The sequence below is a fragment of the Homo sapiens genome, chromosome 22 (assembly GCF_000001405.40).
Source record: "Homo sapiens chromosome 22, GRCh38.p14 Primary Assembly".
NCBI lineage: Eukaryota > Metazoa > Chordata > Mammalia > Primates > Hominidae > Homo > Homo sapiens.
The window spans coordinates 12,096,434-12,115,748 of NC_000022.11; the positions used below are offsets into that span (position 1 = coordinate 12,096,434).

Here is a 19,315-nt window from a genome sequence, read left to right on the forward strand (position 1 = left end):
CCTGCTTCTGCTCCTGCAGGACAGGGAGCCCTCCGTGGGTTGTGCTCCCAGAGTAGCAGCCTAGGGGTGGCTTGCAGTCATTTTTATATTTCACTTTTAATGGCATGCTAATTAAGGGGAGGGTTATTCAGAAATAGCTAGAAATGGGCAGTAACTTCCAGCTGTTTCCATGGCAAGGGTTGGGGACTTCCCGTGCTGCCATGGCATTGGCAAACTGTCATGGCACTGGTGGGAGCATCTTCTGGTGATCTGAGGCCTGAGGTGCTTTCGCTGTCTCTCCCAGTTTCATGCGTGCCTCTTACCTGAAAGCCCTTCACACCCCCATCTACCCACCTACAAAGTTCACTGCCCTTTCACCCCACCCCCGTTTCACACTCACTCTCACATCAACCCTGAGCATTCAAGCCTGCGTTTCCCTGTTAGGAACCTCGGTGGTAGCCGGGGTTCTGAGAAAACCCTAGGCAGAATGCCTTGCCTAGTTTGTGGCAGAAATCAGGGAAGGAAAGACAAATTTCAGGTCTTTCTCACAATAAATAAATAAAGATAGGGAGATTTGATTGATTGATGGATGGATGAAACGTGGGAGTTTACGGGCAAATATTTATCAGACACTGGAAGTGTAAGTTGTCACAAAGATTATGGAGTGCACCTGTCTTATGACGCTGTTAACACTAGAAAATATTTTCTAAATGTGTAAATTGAAGGCTCACAAATTAGTTAAGTGAGAGAAAAGATAACGGATTGGAAGAGAATTACCATATTCATTAGTTGTGTTTTTAAAATTTTAAAGTAAAATACAGACATGATTTTTTTCACACTTTCGAATGCATCTATAAAAAATAGACTTGAGGGCTGGGCGCAGTGGCTCACGCCTGTAATTCCAGCACTTTGGGAGGCCGAGGAGGGCGGATCACGAGGTCAGGAGTTGGAGACCAGCCTGACCAACATAGCGAAAACCCGTCTCTACTAAAAATACAAAAATTAGTCAAGCGTGGTGGCGCGCCTGTAATCCCAGCTACTCAGGAGGCTGAGGCAGGAGAATCGCTTGAACCCGGGAAGCGGAGGTTGCAGTGAGCCGAGATCGCACCATTGCACTCCAGCCTGGGCGACAGAGTGAGACTCCGTCTCAAAAAAAAAAAAAAAAAAAAAGTTACTCATTAACAGCATAGACCAATTGGCCTCTATTGAAATTTCTCCATTATTTTCACAATGTCCCAGGCTGTGAAATCAGGATTTAATAAAGAACCAGAATGCCATATCTGTATCACCTGGGTAGGGACCAGTCCTGATTCATTAAGTCCGTGTCTCTGGGTAACTGGACTCAACTGCTGGACTAAACAGAATGTCCGGCGTGGGTTCCTAACCGGGCACCACAGAGCCTCATGGGAAATGTAGTGTCACTTTCCAATGATGTTACCATCAAGGACTTTGGGAACCAGCTTTTCTCTCTGCGCATGCGCCGCCCGGCCCACTCCGCCATTTTCATCCGGAAGTGCGTCACCCAGAGGCGGTCTTGTAGCGGGGCCGGCTTGGGGCTTGGTTCTATGTCCCTGCGGGTCGGTGCGAGGGCGAAGAGGAACCCGTGGGCCTCGGGGGATCCCGGGGGGCCGGACCAGTGTCCCCTAGTTGTGGGAGCAGACGCGTGGGCGCATCGCGGGCGGGCAGGGCCTGAAGTGCAGGTGCGGGCAGCGGACCCTGGCGGGGGCTGGGAGGACAGGCGTGGGGTCCCGGCAGTGAAGCGGGTTCTAGAGGCGCAGGAGCGGGTAGGCGAGGCCGGTGGCCCTGGGCCCGGAGTCTGCAGGCCGCGCTCCTGTCCTGCCGCTGAGGGACCCGGTTACCAACCTGCATGACGCTCAGTTTGCCCATCTGTCCCAGTGCTAACACACAGTTTTCGGGAGACGTTCCCCATTCCCAGAGGAGTAGTGCGAAATGCGTGCGCCTCTAGTCTTAAACTTGGCGTTTGTATTAGTTGGGTTTCCTGGTGTCTCTTTAGCAAGTGAAGTTTCTGGTTCCCTCCTTCACTGTGTGATCTGCCTAGTCCTCCTGGGTTGCATTTACAGAAGTTTATACGAGACCTAGTTTCCAAGGAAGAACTCACTGATTCCGCGAGGGAGAAGGCATAATGGATGATGGTCTTCAGCCTTAAGGGTACTTCAGTCTTAACTGTGTGTTACAAAGTTTGAAAGAGAGGGTTCCCTATGAATAAGAAGCGCACTTGAAAGAACAGCTGTCTGGTCTAACCTCTCACTGGTGCTTCAGAGGAGGAAAACAGGTCACAGGTGAGGATCCCAGTTTTCCTCGCTCAGGAAATATTAATTCTACTCCCTAGAATGCACAAGATTTGCAAAGACTAGGTGATAGTAGAAGGTTTGGACGAACTTTCAGAAGGTTGAGGTGAATTCAGCTGAGAAGAACAGGCAAGGACCTAGGAAATATTCCTTATTTGAAGGGGCCTGAAAGTGTGGTCTGGGGTACAGGAGTGACCTGTCATACTTGAGAAGATTAAAATACTCTCCAAACACAGTCCCATTCCTTCAACCTTAGCTCGTTTTTCCCAGCGTCTGAGATATATTAAACCTAGTCCATCCCCAAATTTAGCATTAGATTGCGAAGTTCTATTGATTGTATTTGATTTGTAATTTAAGATTTTCTCCCCCTACGTAATTTTGTTAAAAACACAGAAGTGAATTCTGTTCACTTAGGTGTAACAGTTAATACTTGCTGTTTAAGGAATTAATTAAACCTTACTGGCTTATAAAAAACAAACACCATTTTATTTGTTTGAAGTTCTGTGGATCTGCATTTTGGTGTGGTGGGTTCAGCTGGGTAGTTGATATATTTGTGTTGCCTGGATCACAAAAAGTCCTTAGTCACCTGGTGCCTTGACTGAGCCTGGTTGGTTTAAGATAGTTTCCTTCACAATCTGGTGGTTTGTGGTGACTCTTGGCTAGGCCCTGTGTCTCCAACAGGGTTGCTCCAGACCTCTTCACAATTTGACTGTGTCCAAAATGGCAAGAACCAATGGATATTTGCATCACATTTTCCATTGTCCATTCACTGGACAAGTCAGATGGAAAAGCCCAATTTATTATCAGAGCATAATATGAGGGCTTGCATAGAAGGAAAGCTGTTATTGGGAAACATGAGTACAATGGTGTACTGTAGGAAATACATATTATGTACATTTTAAAAAATGTAATTGTAGGCCAAAATTGCTGGTTTGCAAGATGCACTTTCCATGATGTTCAGGTAGAGAAAAGCAAGATGTACTGTCATGGGAACACTCATATGAAGTTATTTGTGGAATCTACATATAAATAGGAAAATAGTTAATACAGCCTAGTATATTTCTATAACATTTATTTTAGTGAACTTATAATGTTTCTTTGCATTAAATTATTAGATTATATCTTTAGATCATATTGTTACTAAATTAATAGGTAATACATATTTTTATTCAAAAATAAATTGTGCATCTAATGTCTACCAATTAATGTACTTGTAGATGTATCTTATCTTAACTTGAGTCTTTGATGCCCCTAATGAGGCGTGAAGGACTCTTCTCCCATGGGGAAGTTTTTCTTTTTCAGGAGGGAGGAGGGCTTTCCCAGGTAATGTGTCTAGAGTGTTGGGCAGAAGAATCTGGGACTACACCACACCAGTTCTCTCCTTAATCCACGTCATTTGCCTTCTATCCCAGCTATGTTTCCAGTGTCCTCTGGGTGTTTCCAAGAGCAACAGGAAACGAATAAATCTCTGGTGAGTTGTTTATTTGTTCTTCACTTTGTTTTACACTGTATTTTCTGAGTTTTTGGGTGTCTGTGAATTAAAAAGGAAAAGTAGAAATAAGTAAAACTCAGGTTGAAGGAAATATACATAAATAAGATAAAGCTGACCTGTAGATATAGGCAGGTTATAAGAGCTTAGAGTTGTCTAAGTTGGGTGCAAATTTTCCTCTGATCTTTCTGATGCCGAGACAAAAAAGGCAGTCATATTTGTTACGTGATTGGAGTGGAACCCGAGAAGAGAACATGCTGTGTTCTTGTGGGACAGGAAAGCTTGCGTGCACCAAGTCTGAACCACCACCTTCATTGGTGACATATATTATGTGCTGGAACATATTTCACACCGGCCTGGCAGTAACCACTTGTAGTGTTGTACAGTGGAAACGGTCATCTTCCGCTAAAGCACAGTGTGTTGTGCAGCGGAAATGGTCATCTGCCGCTAAAGCACAGCTTCCATCGTAAGATATGCTCCTTGCTCAAAGAGTGTGGTCCCAAACAGCTTTTGGGAGGTCCTCCTTGATTCATGGATGAAACCCGGAACATCTTGAGGACTGAGTTAACCATAGGTCCTTAAATAACTCTCCACACTTTTTCTTAGTTTGTCTCTACATGCAGGGTGTGCAGCAGCCTGTTCAAAGTCATATTTTCCGGGAAATATTTCCAGTGTTTATTTGCACTTTAGCCCACTCTGTGTAGTCTTAACTTATTTCTTCTAAACTCACCATTAACCTAAATAATAGTCAAATTTAGGGGGACTGTATTTGCCTTACTCGAGTCTTCTAGCATAGTTGAAACTGTCGTACCTGAGTGAGAGAGAAACGCCACACTTTGAGACGAATTCAGGAGTCCTTTATTAGCCGGTGACTGAGAGACGGCTAACGCACGAAATTCTCTCGGCCCCAAAGAAGGGACTAGATTTTCTTTTATACTTTGGTTTAGAGAGGGGAGGGGGGATTCTAGCTGCAGCAACTTTACAGAAGAAATAAACAGACAAAAAAGTTAAAAAGACAGATGGTTACAGGAAAACAAACTGTTCCAGGTGCAGGGGCTTTAAATTCACCAAAAAGTGATAGGTGAGGGGGCTCTGGGCATTATCTGCCGGACAAATGTGGGGGCTTTATGATACTATCTCTGAGTAATTTGCTGGGAACTGCGGACATCTCTTGTCTCAGCACTTTATCAGTTAATTGCACTCTTTGATATGTTGAAAATCAGCTTGCACAAGTTAAAGTCCTTGAGGAAAGGGGGTGGGTAAGAAGCCCTTGATGTTTTGTAAATGAAGGAGCCAAATGGAATTTGTCTGGTTTTCTCAGCTAAGGGAGAGTCTATTCATATTAAAAACAAGGTTAGCTATCTAAGGAACAATCTATTCATGTTAATACAACGTTGGGTATTACAAAACATCTGTTCATGATCTGGAAATTCTTCTGTGTTAGTTCTGTTAAAAGAAAAACTTTAAAGGAGTTTAATTGAGCAATAAATGATTCACAAATCGGACAGTCCCCAGAATCACAGCAGATTCACAGAGACTCCAGCGCAGTCATGTGGTGGAAGAAGATTTATAGACAAAAGGGAAATGGCATACCGAAATCGGAAGTGAGGTACAGAAACAACTCAGCGTTTGCCTTGTTTGAACACAGTTTGAACATTTGGCAGTGCCTGAGTTGTTGAAGTTTGGCCATTGGGATTGGCCAAGATGTAGCTGTTGTTCCAGGTGCATACTCTCAAGTTATTTTTTCATTCTTGTATACCTATTAAGGTAGGTTGCAGTTCATCCACAAGGACTCATATATAGAATTATGGAGTCCTTCTCAGGCCATACTTAGTTCACTTTAACAATGCCTTCCCTTTGGTTATTTTCTCAATTTTGAGAGATTGGCCAAAACTTCAGTCACTGGTGTCACTATTACCATTGCAAATGTACTTACTTGGTTTAGAAACCCACTGGGAAATAGACCAGTGAGATTTGAAAAGGTGGAACAAGGACTTGAGTAGAAGGTATCTTCTTATGCTGGAACATCCTGTTTATAGGAGAAAAACAAAACCTGGTTTGTTCTAGGATTTATATGTTTCCTTAAAGTCTTAGTTTGATTATGTTACATTTAGCATGAGTGACTCCATTTTGGTTTGGTTTGGTCTGTTGGGACCTATTGCATGAGCTTAGTTCAAAACAATGGCCTCCCATAGTTTTGCTTAAAAAATTCCTCCTTTTGGCTGGGCGCGGTGGCTCACACTTGTAATCCTAGCACTTTGGGAGGCTGAGGTGGGCAGATCACGAGGTCAGGAGATTGAGACCATCCTTGCTAATATGGTGAAACCCTGTCTCTACTAAAAATACAAAAAAATAGCCAAGCGTGGTGGCGGGTGCCTGTATTCCCAGCTACTCAGGAGGCTGAGGCAGGAGAATGGCCTGAACCCGGGAGGCGGAGCTTACAGTGAGCTGAGATCGTGACACTGCACTCCACTCTGTGGGACACACCAAGACTCTGTCTTAGAAAAAAAAAATCCTCCTTTTCAGTCAAGTTCTCACTTAGTTGAGAGTGTGACCAAAATATAGGGCCTTAGCATCACTCTTAGTTACCATTGTTTTGGGTTCCGGTTTTAGCACATCATTCCCACTGTTTTGTGTTTCTGGTTTAGCACGTCACTCCCATTGTTTTGGGTTCCGGTTTTAGCACATCACTCCCATGTTTTGGGTTCTGGTTTTAGCACGTCACTCCCATTGTTTGGGGTTTTTGGTTTAGCACGTCACTCCCATTGTTTTGGGTTCCAGTTTTAGCGAGTCACTCTCATTGTTTTGGGTTTCTGGTTTAGCATGTCACTCCCATTGTTTTGGGTTCCAGTTTAAGCACATCACTCCCATTGTTTTGGGTCTCTGGTTTCGCAGGTCACTCATAGGTTACAGTGTCCTTATGGTTGCACATTTTTTTTAAATCTCTTGTCATTCCAGTTGAAGAGATAACATTTGACATTTTAGAGATGCCTGCATGCAAACTCTTAAAACATCTGAGTAAGTACAGTGCACCAGGGAGACTCTTATGACTACTGGGATAATACCAAGAATTTGGTATATGCTCCTTACTCAGGGTCCCCATAAATCAAACCACCTAAAATAAAATAGATTAAAGAATGAATTAGATAAAGAGTTTACTTGCTTAACTAAGTGGGTTTTTTGTTAATTCCCTACAACCAAATCTTTATAATACCCCATGTTTTCTCCACATGCTGTAAGTGTTAGCAGCTGCACAGATACTTAAGATAAGAGTCTCATGATAGTAGAGAAGTCTTGATCTGTGATCTTGGGAGAAGCTGTTCACATTAAGGATGCCATCTTCTTCTGGGGGGAACTGTCCTTGTTAGCTTTACCTTAAGGGTTCCAATAGGTATATGGTTCCAAGTGTGGAGGGACCCTTCTGAGTTGTGAAACTATGAACCCAAAGTTTAAGTTTTTAAAGTTTTGCTGTCATGTGGATGGCAAGGGCAGTCCTTCTCTGATGTTCTCAGAAGATCCAGTCATCAGATTCTAGATTGTGAAGGGGTTGACTGTCCCCAGTGAACCATAAAAGGCTTTCTTTACCTGGTGAAAATACACTTCAGGGTAATAATGTACTGTTTTAACATCAACTCTCTCGCATGGAAGAGCTTTTATACAATCAGAAAGCATGCACTGAAAATGACAACTGAATGAAATCCCTTTATAAAATGTTTAAATGGCCCATCAGGTAACCAAATGTACCTGAAGTTTTGATTGTTTTCCTAGGAATATAGGTTTGACAAACCAAACATTGGTTATAAACTATTTTAGCAGTTTAGAAATCACCACACCAATATATTTAATTTGGATCATTTTCTCTTTCCATGATGAGTTATGGAATGCAGAACTTTTAATAACAAAAGTTTTAAGGACTTAAGAAGGATAAGGTGGCCATCCTGGTTCTTCATAAGTCTGTGCTTAATTAACATTAGACTTACATCCTCTTGAATACCAGCTGTTTCTCCAAATTAGGTGCATGGCACTGGTAACTGATGAGTAGTTATAGGTAATTTGACTTAGACCATGGAGTTTATTTAAATTATATATCTAAACAATTTCAATATTGGTGATTTAGCATGCAAATGTGGCAAAATATTTCCTTGGTATACAATTTTTGTTTTACTTGGGTTAGAAGTTTTATAAACCAGTTGGTCTTTTTATTAAACTTTTGGGATTTTTTTTTTTTTTTTTGAGACAGAGTCTCACTGTGTTACCTAGGTTGGAGTGCAGTGGCACAATCTTGGCTCACTGCAACCTCCACCTCCTGGGTTCAAGCAATTCTCTTGCCTCAGCCTCCAGAGTAGCTGGGATTACAGGCACATACCACCACACCTGGCTAATTTTTGTATTTTTAGTAGAGGTGGGCTTTCACCGTTGGCCAGGCTGGTCTCAAACTCCTGACCTCAAGTGATCCACTGGCCTTGGCCTCCCAAAGTGCTGGGATTGCCGACGTGAGCTGCTGCACCCAGCCTAACATTTGAGAATTCTTAACCAGTCCAATTCTTGGGGTATCTTGGAACTTATGGGGAATTTTTACCCATGATATTAAAGTTATTAGAAATCTGTGTTCACAAGTGTTTTTTAGGGTCCTTTTCATTCTTTCATGAATCTTCTAAGAGACACCATATTCTAGAATTTTGCATGCTTGTGAAGTTTTTAGAAACTGCATCACCATTAAGCAATTAACTGTGGAAATGACTTTAAACAGTTATAGTTAAAGAAAATTGACAAGGAAATTTGGTTATTTTTGTGGTCTACAATAACTTAATAACCATAATTAGGGTGGATGTGGTGGCTCATGCCTGTAATCCCAGCACTATGGGAGGCCGAGGTGGAAGGATCACGAGGTCAGGAGATGGAGATCATCCTGGCTAACACAGTGAAATCCGTCTTTACTAAAAATACAAAAATTAGCCTGGCATGGTGGTAGGTGCCTGTAGTCCCAGCTACTTGGGAGGCTGAGGCAGGAGAATGGCATGAACCTGGGAGGTGGAGGTTGCAGTGAGCCAAGATTGCACCACTGTACTCCAGCCTGGGTGACAGAGCAAGACTCCATCTCAGAAAAAAAAAAAAAAAAAAAAAATCAAGAATTTTAGAAATCCTATACAATTTTAGAATGGATTGATGACATACACTAAATATAACCTGAAGAAGGTTCAACATTATTTTTTATTTTGACAGTGCTACCCATGTGACTTAACATGTTAAATAGTCCTGTTTACCTCTCTTTTGGGTGCTTCAGGGGCCTCTGTAGTGTCCCAAAGTTAGAGGTCAGAAAAGACAATTTTGAAGTTGAAATTTGATTTTGGGAAGCCTATTAAATATATTAAAGGTTTAAACACTTGATGTTATGAAATAGAATTCCACGTCACCATAAGTCATTCATTTACCTAAAATCATGACTTAAAAAATTTTTAAAGGGCAAAAATCTTTACTCATTGATAGGGGGAAGACTTATCTTCACAAACGATCTGCCTCTTGTTTTTCCTTTTTTTTTTTTTTGGTAGTTTATTTACAAGGCAAACAAATTTTTCATTTTTTTATTTTATTTTATTATTATTATTATTATTATTATTATTATTATTATTATACTTTAAGCTTTAGGGTTTATGTGCACAATGTGCCGGTTAGTTACATATGTATACATGTGCCAGTCTGGTGTGCTGCACCCATTAACTTGTCATTTAGCATTAGTTACATCTTCTAATGGTATCCCTCCCCCCTTCCCCCACCTCACAACAGTCCCCAGAGTGTGATGTCACCCTTCCTGTGTCCATGTGTTCTCATTGTTCAATTCCCATCTATGAGTGAGAACATGCAGTGTTTGGTTTTTTGTCCTTGTGATAGTTTACTGAGAATGATGATTTCCAATTTCATCCATGTCCCTACAAAGGACATGAACTCATCATTTTTTATGGCTGCATAGTATTCCATGGTGTATATGTGCCACAATTTCTCAATCCAGTCTAACGTTGTTGGACATTTGGGTTGGTTCCAAGTCTTTGCTATTGTGAATAGTGCCACAATAAACATACGTGTGCATGTGTGTTTATAGCAGCATGATTTATAGTCCTTTGGTTATATACCCACTAATGGGATGGCTGGGTCAAATGGTATTTGTAGTTCCAGATACTTGAGGAATCGCCACACTGACTTCCACTATCGTTGAACTAGTTTACAGTCCCACCAACAGTGTTCCTATTTCTCCACATCCTCTCCAGCACCTGTTGTTTCCTGACTTTTTAATGATTGCCATTCTAACTGGTGTGAGACGGTATCTCATTGTGGTTTTGATGTACATTTCTCTGATGGCCAGTGATGATGAGCATTTTTTCATGTGTCCTTTGGCTGCATAAATGTCTTCTTTTGAGAAGTGTCTGTTCATATCCATTGCCCACTTTTTGATGGGGTTGTTTGTTTTTTTCTTGTAAATTTGTTTAAGTTCGTTGTAGATTCTGGATATTATCCCGTTGTCAGATGAGTAGGTTGCGAAAATTTTTTCCCATTTTGTAGGTTGCCTGTTCACTCTGATGACAGTTTCTTTTGCTATGCAGAAGCTCTTTAGTTTAATTAGATCCCATTTGTCAATTTTGGCTTTTGTTGCCATTGCTTCTGGTGTTTTAGACATGAAGTCCTTGCCCATGCCTATGTCCTGAATGGTAATGCCTAGGTTTTCTTCTAGGGTTTTTATGGTTTTAAGTCTAACATTTAAGTCTTTAATCCATCTTGAATTAATTTTTGTATAAGGTGTAAGGAAGGGATCCAGTTTCAGCTTTCTACATATGGCTAGCCAGTTTTCCCAGCACCATTTATTAAATAGGGAATCCACTGCTTCTTTTTGTCAGGTTTGTCAAAGATCAGATAGTTGTAGATATGTGGCATTATTTCGGAGGGCTCTGTTCTGTTCCATTGGTCTATATCTCTGTTTTGGTACAAGTACCATGCTGTTTTGGTTACTGTAGCCTTGTAATATAGTTGGAAGTCAGGTAGCGTGATGCCTCCAGCTTTGTTCTTTTGGCTTAGGATTGACTTGGTGATGCAGGCTCTTTTTTGGTTCCATATGAACTTTAAAGTAGTTTTTTCCAATTCTGTGAAGAAAGTCATTGGTAGTTTGATGGGGATGGCATTGAATCTATAAATTACCTTGGGCAGTATGGCCATTTTCATGATATTGATTCTTCCTATCCATGAGCATGGAATGTTCTTCCATTTGTTTGTATCCTCTTTTATTTCATTGAGCAGTGGTTTGTAGTTCTCCTTGAAGAGGTCCTTCACGTCCCTTGTAAATTGGATTCCTAAGTATTTTATTCTCTTTGAAGCTATTGCGAATGTGAGTTCACTCATGATTTGGTTCTCTGTTTGTCTGTTATTGGTGTATAAGAATGCTTGTGATTTTTGTACATTGATTTTGCATCCTGAGACTTTGCTGAGGTTACTTAGCTTAAGGAGATTTTGGGCTGAGACAATGGGGTTTTCTAGATATACAATCATGTCGTCTGCAAACAGGGACAATCTGACTTCCTCTTTTCCTAATTGAATACCCTTTATTTCCTTCTCCTGCCTGATTGCCCTGGCCAGAACTTCCAACACTATGTTGAATAGGAGTGGTGAGAGATGGCATCCCTATCTTGTGCCCGTTTTCAAAGGGAATGTTTCCAGTTTCTGCCCATTCAGTATGATATTGGCTGTGGGTTTGTCAAAGATAGCTCTTATTATTTTGAGATACGTCCCATCAATACTTAATTTATTGAGAGTTTTTAGCATGAAGCGTTGTTGAATTTTGTCAAAGGCCTTTTCTGCATCTATTGAGATAATCATATGGTTTTTGTCTTTGGTTCTGTTTATATGCTGGATTACATTTATTGATTTGTGTATATTGAACCAGCCTTGCATCCCAGGGATGAAACCCACTTGATCATGGTGGATAAGCTTTTTGATGTGCTGCTGGATTCGGTTTGCCAGTATTTTATTGAGGATTTTTGCATCAATGTTCATGAAGGATATTCATCTAAAATTCTCTTTTTTGGTTGTGTCTCTTCCCGGCTTTGGTATCAGGATGATGCTGGCCTCATAAAATGAGTTAGGGAGGATTCCTTCTTCTTCTATTGATTGGAATAGTTTCAGAAGGAATAGTACCAGTTCCTCCTTGTACCTCTGGTAGAATTTGGTTGTGAATCCATCTGGTCCAGGAGTTTTTTTGGTTGGTAGGCTATTGATTATTGCCACCATTTCAGCTCCTGTTATTGGTCTATTCAGAGATTCAACTTCTTCCTGGTTTAGTCTTGGGAGAGTGTATGTGTCAAGGAATTTATCCATTTATTCTAGATTTTCTAGTTTATTTGCGTAGAGGTGTTTGTAGTATTCTCTGATGGTAGTTTGTATTTCTGAGGGATCAGTGGTGATATCCCCTTTATCATTTTTTATTGTGTCTATTTGATTCTTCTCTCTTTTTTTCTTTATTAGTCCTGTTAGCAGTCTATCAATTTTGTTGATCATTTCAAAAAACCACCTCCTGGATTCATTAATTTTTTGAAGGGTTTTTTTGTTGCTATTTCCTTCAGTTCTTCTCTGATTTTAGTTATTTCTTGCCTCTGTTAGCTTTTGAACGTGTTTGCTCTTGCTTTTCTAGTTGTTTTAATTGTGATGTTAGGGTGTCAATTTTGGATCTTTCCTGCTTTCCCTTGTGGGCATTTAGTGCTATAAATTTCCCTCTACACACTGCTTTGAATGTGTCCCAGAGATTCTGGTATGTTGTGTCTTTGTTCTCGTTGGTTTCAAATAACATCTTTATTTCTGCCTTCATTTCGTTATGTACCCAGTAGTCATTCAGGAGCAGGTTGTTCAGTTTCCATGTAGTTGAGCAGTTTTGAGTGAGTTTCTTAATCCCGAGTTCTAGTTTGATTTCACTGTGGTCTGAGAGACAGTTTGTTATAATTTCTGTTCTTTTACTTTTGCTGAAGAGGCCTTTACTTCCAAGTATGTGGTCAATTTTGGAATAGGTGTGGTGTTGTGCTGAAAAAAAGGTATATTCTGTTGATTTGGGGTGGAGAGTTCTGTAGATGTCTATTAGGTCCGCTTGGTGCAGAGCTGAGTTCAATTCCTTGGTATCCTTGTGAACTTTCTGTCTCATTGATCTGTCTAATGTTGGCAGTGGGGTGTTAAAGTCTCCCATTATTATTGTGTGGGAGTCTAAGTCTCTTTGTAGGTCACTCAGGACTGGCTTTATGAATCTGGGTGCTCCTGTATTGGGTGCATATATATTTAGGATAGTTAGCTCTTCTTGTTGAATTGATCCCTTTACCATTATGTAATGGTCTTCTTTGTCTCTTTTGATGTTTGTTGGTTTAAAGTCTGTTTCATCAGAGTCTAGGATTGCAACCCCTGCCTTTTTTTTGTTTTCCATTTGCTTGGTAGGTCTTTCTCCATCCTTTTATTTTGAGCCTATGTGTGTCTCTGCACGTGACATGGGTTTCCTGAATACAGCACACTGATGGGTCTTGACTCTTTATCCAATTAGCCAGTGTGTGTCTTTTAATTGGAGCATTTAGTCCATTTACATTTAAAGTTAATATTGTTATGTGTGAATTTGATCCTGTCATTATGATGTTAGCTGGTTATTTTGCTCGTTAGTTGATGCAATTTCTTCCTAGTCTTGATGGTCTTTACAATTTGTCATGTTTTTGCAGTGGTTTGTACCGATTGTGCCTTTGCATGTTTAGTCCTTCCTTCAGGAGCTCTTTTAGGGCAGGCCTGGTGATGACAAAATCTCTCAGCATTTGCTTGTCTGTAAAGGATTTTATTTCTCCTTCACTTATGAAGCTTAGTTTGGCTGGATATGAAATTCTGGGTTGAAAATTCTTTTCTTTAAAAATGTTGAATATTGGCCCCCACTCTCTTCTGGCTTGTAGAGTTTCTGCCGAGAGATCAGCAGTTAGTCTGATGGGCTTCCCTTTGTGGGTAACCCGAACTTTCTCTCTGGCTGCCCTTAACATTTTTTCCTTCATTTCAACTTTGGTGAATCTGACAATGATGTGTCTTGGAGTTGCTGTTCTCGAGGAGTATCTTTGTGGCATTCTCTGTATTTCCTGAATCTGAATGTTGCCCTGCTTTGCTAGATTGGGAAAGTTCTCTTGGATAATATCCTGCAGAGTGTTTTCCAACTTGGTTCCATTCTCCCTGTCACTTTCAGGTACATGAATGTGACATAGATTTGGTCTTTTCACATAGTCACATATTTCTTGGAGGCTTTGTTCATTTCTTTTTATTCTTTTTTCTCTAAACTTCCCTTCTCACTTCATTTCATTCATTTCATCTTCCATCACTGATACCCTTTCTTCCAGTTGATCGCATCAGCTCCTGAGGCTTCTGCATTCTTCATGTAGTTCTCGAGCCTTGGCTTTCAGCTCCATCAGCTCCTTTAAGCACTTCTCTATATTGGTTATTCTAGTTATACATTCGTCTAAAGTTTTTTCAAAGTTTTCAACTTCTTTGCCTTTGGTTTGAATTTTTCCCTGTAGCTCGGAGTAGTTTGATCGTCGGAAGCCTTCTTCTCTCAGCTCATTAAAGTCATTCTCTGTCCAGCTTTGTTCCATTGCTGGTGAGGAACTGCATTCCTTTGGAGGAGGAGAGGTTTTCTGCTTTTTAGAGTTTCCAGTTTTTCTGCTCTGTTTTCGCCCCATCTTTGTGGTTTTATCTACTTTTGGCCTTTGATGATGGTGATGTACAGATGGGTTTTTGGTGTGGATGTCCTTTCTGTTTGTTAGTTTTCCTTCTAACAGACAGTACCCTCAGCTTAAGGTCTGTTGGAGTTTGCTAGAGACCCATTCCAGACTCTGTTTGCCTGGGGATCAGCAGTGGTGTCTGCAAAACCATGGATTTTCGTGATCTGCGAATGCTGCTGTCTGATCGTTCCTCTGGAAGTTTTGTCTCAGAGGAGTACCCGGTCGTGTGAGGTGTCAGTCTGCCCCTACTGGGGGGTTCCTCCCAGTTAGGCTGCTCAGGGGTCAGGGGTCTGGGACCCACTTGAGGAGGCAGTCTGCCCATTCTCAGATCTCCAGCTGCGTGCTGAGAGATCCACTGCTCTCCTCAAAGCTGTCAGACAGGGACATTTAAGTCTGCAGAGGTTACTGCTGTCTTTTTGTTTGTCTGTGCCCTGCCCCCAGAGGTGAAGCCTGCAGAGGCAGGCAGGCCTCCTTGAGCTGTGGTGGGCTCCACCCAGTTTGAGCTTCCTGGCTGCTTTGTTTACCTAAGAGAGCCTGGGCAATGGCCGGTGCCCTTCCCCCAGCCTCGCTGCTGCCTTGCAGTTTGATCTCAGACTGCTGTGTTAGCAATTAGCAAGATCCCATGGGCGTAGGACCCTCCGAGCCAGGTGCAGGATGTAATCTCCTGGTGCGCCGTTTCCTAAGCCCATCAGAAAAGCACAGTATTAGGGTGGGAGTGGCCCAATTTTCCAGGTGCCATCTCTCACCCCTTTCCTTGACCAGGAAAGGGAACTAACTCCCTGACCTCTTGTGCTTCCCGAGTGAGGCAATGCCTTGCCCTGCTTCGGCTAGTGCACAGTGCACTTCACCCACTGTCCTGCACCCACTGTCTGGCACTCCCTAGTGAGATGAACCCAGTACCTCAAATTGGAATGCAGAAATCACCCATCTTCTGCGTCGTTCATGCTGGGAGCTGTAGAGTAGAGCTGTTCCTATTCGGCCATCTTGGCTCCTCCTCCCATTATTTTTTAATATTTTCTGAAAATCTTCTTTAAAGAGAGAAAGCCAAATGTCACCCACTTTTTCATAAAACCTTATAGGCAAATCTATTATTCTTTTTTTTTTTGAGATGGATTTTCCCTCTCGTTGCCCAGGCTGGAGTGCAATGGTGCGATCTCGGTTTACTGCAATCCGCTGCCTCCCAGGTTCAAGCGATTCTCCCGCCCCAGCCTCCTGAGTAGCTGGGATTAGAGGCATGCCCCACCATGCCCAGCTAATTTTGTGTTTTTAGTAGAGACAGGGTTTTTCCTTGTTGGTCTGGCTGGCCCTGAACTCCTGACCTCAGGTGATCCACCTGTCTCAGCCTCCCCAAGTGTTGGGATTACAGGCGTGAGCCACTGCCCCTGGCCATGTTTTTTTTAAAGATAGCGTCTTGCTCTGTCACCCTCCTCACCACATTATAGCTCTGGGGGCCAAGCTGCATCACAATGGAAATCATGGTGCCACAGGAAGAATCCACTCAGCTTTGCAAGATGCTGCCCAAGGGGTTGCTTGGAGTAACCAAATTAATATTTTTCATTCTGCTCAGAGCAAAATACATGTGACAAAACATAGACACGAGCCACTTTGCATAGCACACAGTGTCAAACTGGTAAGACTCAAACTTGCTCCCAGATAGGCCGTGCCATCTCTAAATCTTTTTAGAAGCTTCTGCATATTAATAGGCATCCCTAAGTGAGACTAATTGGGGAGCCCTCATTTTTAAATGCACTTCAGGGCATTATTCATTTGGAATGTTCCACTGTAAGTTATCTTTAGTAAGATTTTGCCATTTCTGTAAGACTTTGCTGCTTCCCAGGCCTAATGAATTAGCCAGAAGGAACTTAGTTTTCCAGAAATTAAGGATCCTATTTTTACCTAATATATTGGCTTTACTCCCAGGTTCCCTTGATTGACTTAGCCAATGATTTTTTTTTCCTACCTAAGTATGCGAGGAAAATGAAACAAAGGGGTAGAACACAAAAATCCCTGTGAATTTTGAAAAGCCAAATTTTACAACCCTCCAATGTTATCATTTGCTACCACTTTCCTTCTGACCCATTCAGATGTAGGAGGCCTCTAACTGGAACTGGATTCAAGCCAGTTAACTACTGGATCAAATCTGATCCTGGACCCGGTCCCGTTTCTGTCATAACTTCTAAAACATCCAGCCAGTCATGGCTGGATAGCAGTTTGGAACAGAAATTTGCTCAAAGAAACTCAGAGCTCAAAACACAAATCCATGGAGCTCTGAAATCCGAGAGAGAATTTACCACGATCCCCAGCTGCTCTGAGAGGTCAAAGGGCACAAGTGTTACAGAATCCTGAGGCATCAATTTTCTGCCTGAAACCTCTGTCTGGTGGCACATTTACCTGTGTTTTGCTCGAGCCCACTGGGTTCGTTCTGTCCACTCGGCTCATGCTAGTGGTCTGGATCCCACACCTGCCAAGGGTGAGCTGGGTACAGAGCAGTGAAGGGTGTGTGAGCAAGCGAGCATGGGATCTGGCCACTGCACACAGCCAAGCATGCCAGCTGCAGTGGTGTGGGCAGCTCCAGGCACCGGCACAGGTGCCAGCTCCCTGTGAGGCTGCAGCTGGACCAGGCCGACTGCAAACAGCTTCCACTGTGGGTATCAGGGAATGCAGTGGTGCCCAGAAGCTTAGAGATGTAGGAACTGCAGAGCCCCAAAGAAGGTGTCACAGCCCTGGCTTGGGGAGCTCCTAGGTCTGGGCTCCCTGAAGGGCCACAGCTCTTCTCTCCTTCTCTCTTCTCTTCTTCTTGCCTGCAATTTGGCAAGCAAGGGGTGCGTTTCAGCCCTGTTTATGTTGCAACTCTTTCAGCCCTGCTAGTTGGCAGGTCCCGAGTTCTTGTCCTGAGTCCAGGAAGAATGAGGTATGTGGGCAAGTAGAAGGTGAGCAAGGTGAAGAGGTGCTTTATTGAGCAACAGTACAGCTCAGAGGAGACCTGCAGTGGGTAGCTCCTTTCTGCAGGCAGGTCATCCCAACATCTGTTCAGCTCTCAGCAGCTGAGAGAGACGCACGGTGGTTAGCTGTGCACACGATGCCCAGGCTGTTCGAGCTGAGGAGTGCCTTCAGGCCAGTGCTGAGCCACTCTTAGCCCCACCTCAACCTCCCTCCTGTGCTCGTCAGTGCCCAAAGTCTGGAGGGGGCTGAGGTGGCAGGGGGCTGGCATGTCAGCACTGCCCTGAGCTTGCACAAACTGGGCTGGGTTGCGACTGTACCCGGGTTCAGCCTCAACTTGGATCTGAAGTTGGAGTGGGCTCTGGGAGTGGAGACGCCAGGTGGTGGGACCAGGTACAACTGAGCCTGCGGGGGCAGGGGGGCTTGCTGGGCCTCTGAGAGTGCAAAGATGCCCGGGTTTGCAGTCATGGCTGGATGGCTGCAGCTGTGCCTGGGAGGGCGGGGCTCCTGCCTACCAATTTAGAAGGGGTGGGGCTCCCCCCCGTTCCTGGCTCCCACCAGCTTCGAGGAGCGCACAGCCCCAGCCACTCCTCCCCACAGCAGCCAGTGTCTCCGTAGCAACTTCTCCACGTGGGCCACTGCTGCCATCACAGAGCAGTCCTTGCAGGTGCCTTTCTTGTACCTCAGCACTCCTGGGGGTCATTAGAAGCCCTAGCAACACTGCTCACCACACTATAACTCCGGAGGCCCTAGCAGTCCTGCTACCACAGATCCCACTTCTGATACCATCTATTAAAAGAAAATCTTCAGCTGAATTAAATTTAAAGGAACTTAATTGAGCAATGAATGATTCACGAATCAGGCAGCCCCCAGAATCACAGCAGATTCGGTGAGACTCCAGCACAGCTACATGGTGGAAGATTTATAGACAATAAAGGGAACGTGATGTACAGAAGTCTGAAGTGAGGAGTGAGGTCCAGAAGCACCTGAGCCTGTTACAGTTCTCAGCAGTGAGGTCCAGAAACAACTGGACTGGTTACAGTGCTCAGCATTTGCCTTATTTGAACACAGCTGAACACTCAGCAGTGTGTGAGTGGCAGAAGTTTGGCTGTTGGGATTGGTCAGGACTCAGCTATAGTTACAGGCGCATACTCCTAAGTTAGGTTTTCAGTCTTTCTACCTATTAAGTGAGGTTGCAGTTTGTCCACAGGGACTCAAATCTAGAAGTACAGAGTCCTTCCCAGGCCATATTTAGTTCACTGTAACAGTTCCTATTATGACCTCACTGACAGTTCTTTTTCTCTGAATTCTCCTTTCTTCTCAACAGCTTATCCAAATGTTCCGTTGGTCCCTGTTCATCCCGCCCTGCAGTTCTCCTTGACTGATTCAGCCCTTTGTGGTTTGCAGTCCTGTTTCTCTACAGCTTGGACCCCTTCAGTCTTTCCATCATAAGTTTAACTCTCTGTTGAATGCTTCTTTGTAGCTACACAAAAGTTACCTTAAGCTCAAAAATTTCAAAGTGAAAGCCACATCCTCCTCTCTTCCCTTATGTATATGGTATTACTACCATGCAGCCAGTGACCCAAAATGGGATTTCTTCTGGGCTTTTCTTGGTTAGATTCAGGCTCATCTGGTGTCAAGCTTTGTTACTTTTGTTTCCTTGTTCTTTTATTTTTATTCTTTTTTCTTTTGAGACAGAGTTTCGCTCTTGTTGCCCAGGCTAGAGCACAGTGGTGTGATCTCGGCTCACTGCAGCCTCCACCTCCCGGGTTCAAGCAATTCTCCTGCCTCAGCTCCTGAGTAGCTGGTATTACAGGCATTTGCCACCACGCCCG

The 19,315-nt window shown here is 43.1% G+C and overlaps 1 long non-coding RNA gene across 3 annotated transcripts, besides 1 other annotated feature; it reads left to right on the forward strand.

The window, feature by feature from the left end:
* Nucleotides 1,481-1,639: a silencer, noted in NCBI's record as "fragment chr1:142618781-142618939 (GRCh37/hg19 assembly coordinates)". NCBI's record gives its function as "represses an EF-1alpha promoter that drives an FKBP-Casp9 reporter gene in an ReSE screen in phorbol 12-myristate 13-acetate-treated (for megakaryocytic differentiation) K562 erythroleukemia cells {active_cell/tissue: K562(+PMA)}" and the evidence as "EXISTENCE:reporter gene assay evidence [ECO:0000049][PMID:32094911]".
* On the forward strand, nt 1,504-18,924 carry LOC107987323 (uncharacterized). 3 transcript variants are annotated; one of them, XR_001755415.2, is made up of 4 exons: nt 1,504-1,679; nt 2,061-2,279; nt 3,701-3,759; nt 18,808-18,924. It is a non-coding gene; the product is annotated as an uncharacterized LOC107987323 (long non-coding RNA). The 3 variants fall into 3 exon arrangements; XR_001755413.2 differs by lacking the exon at nt 2,061-2,279; XR_002958735.2 differs by lacking the exon at nt 18,808-18,924 and having other exon boundaries at nt 3,701-3,813.
* Nucleotides 18,925-19,315: the final 391 nt, after the last annotated feature.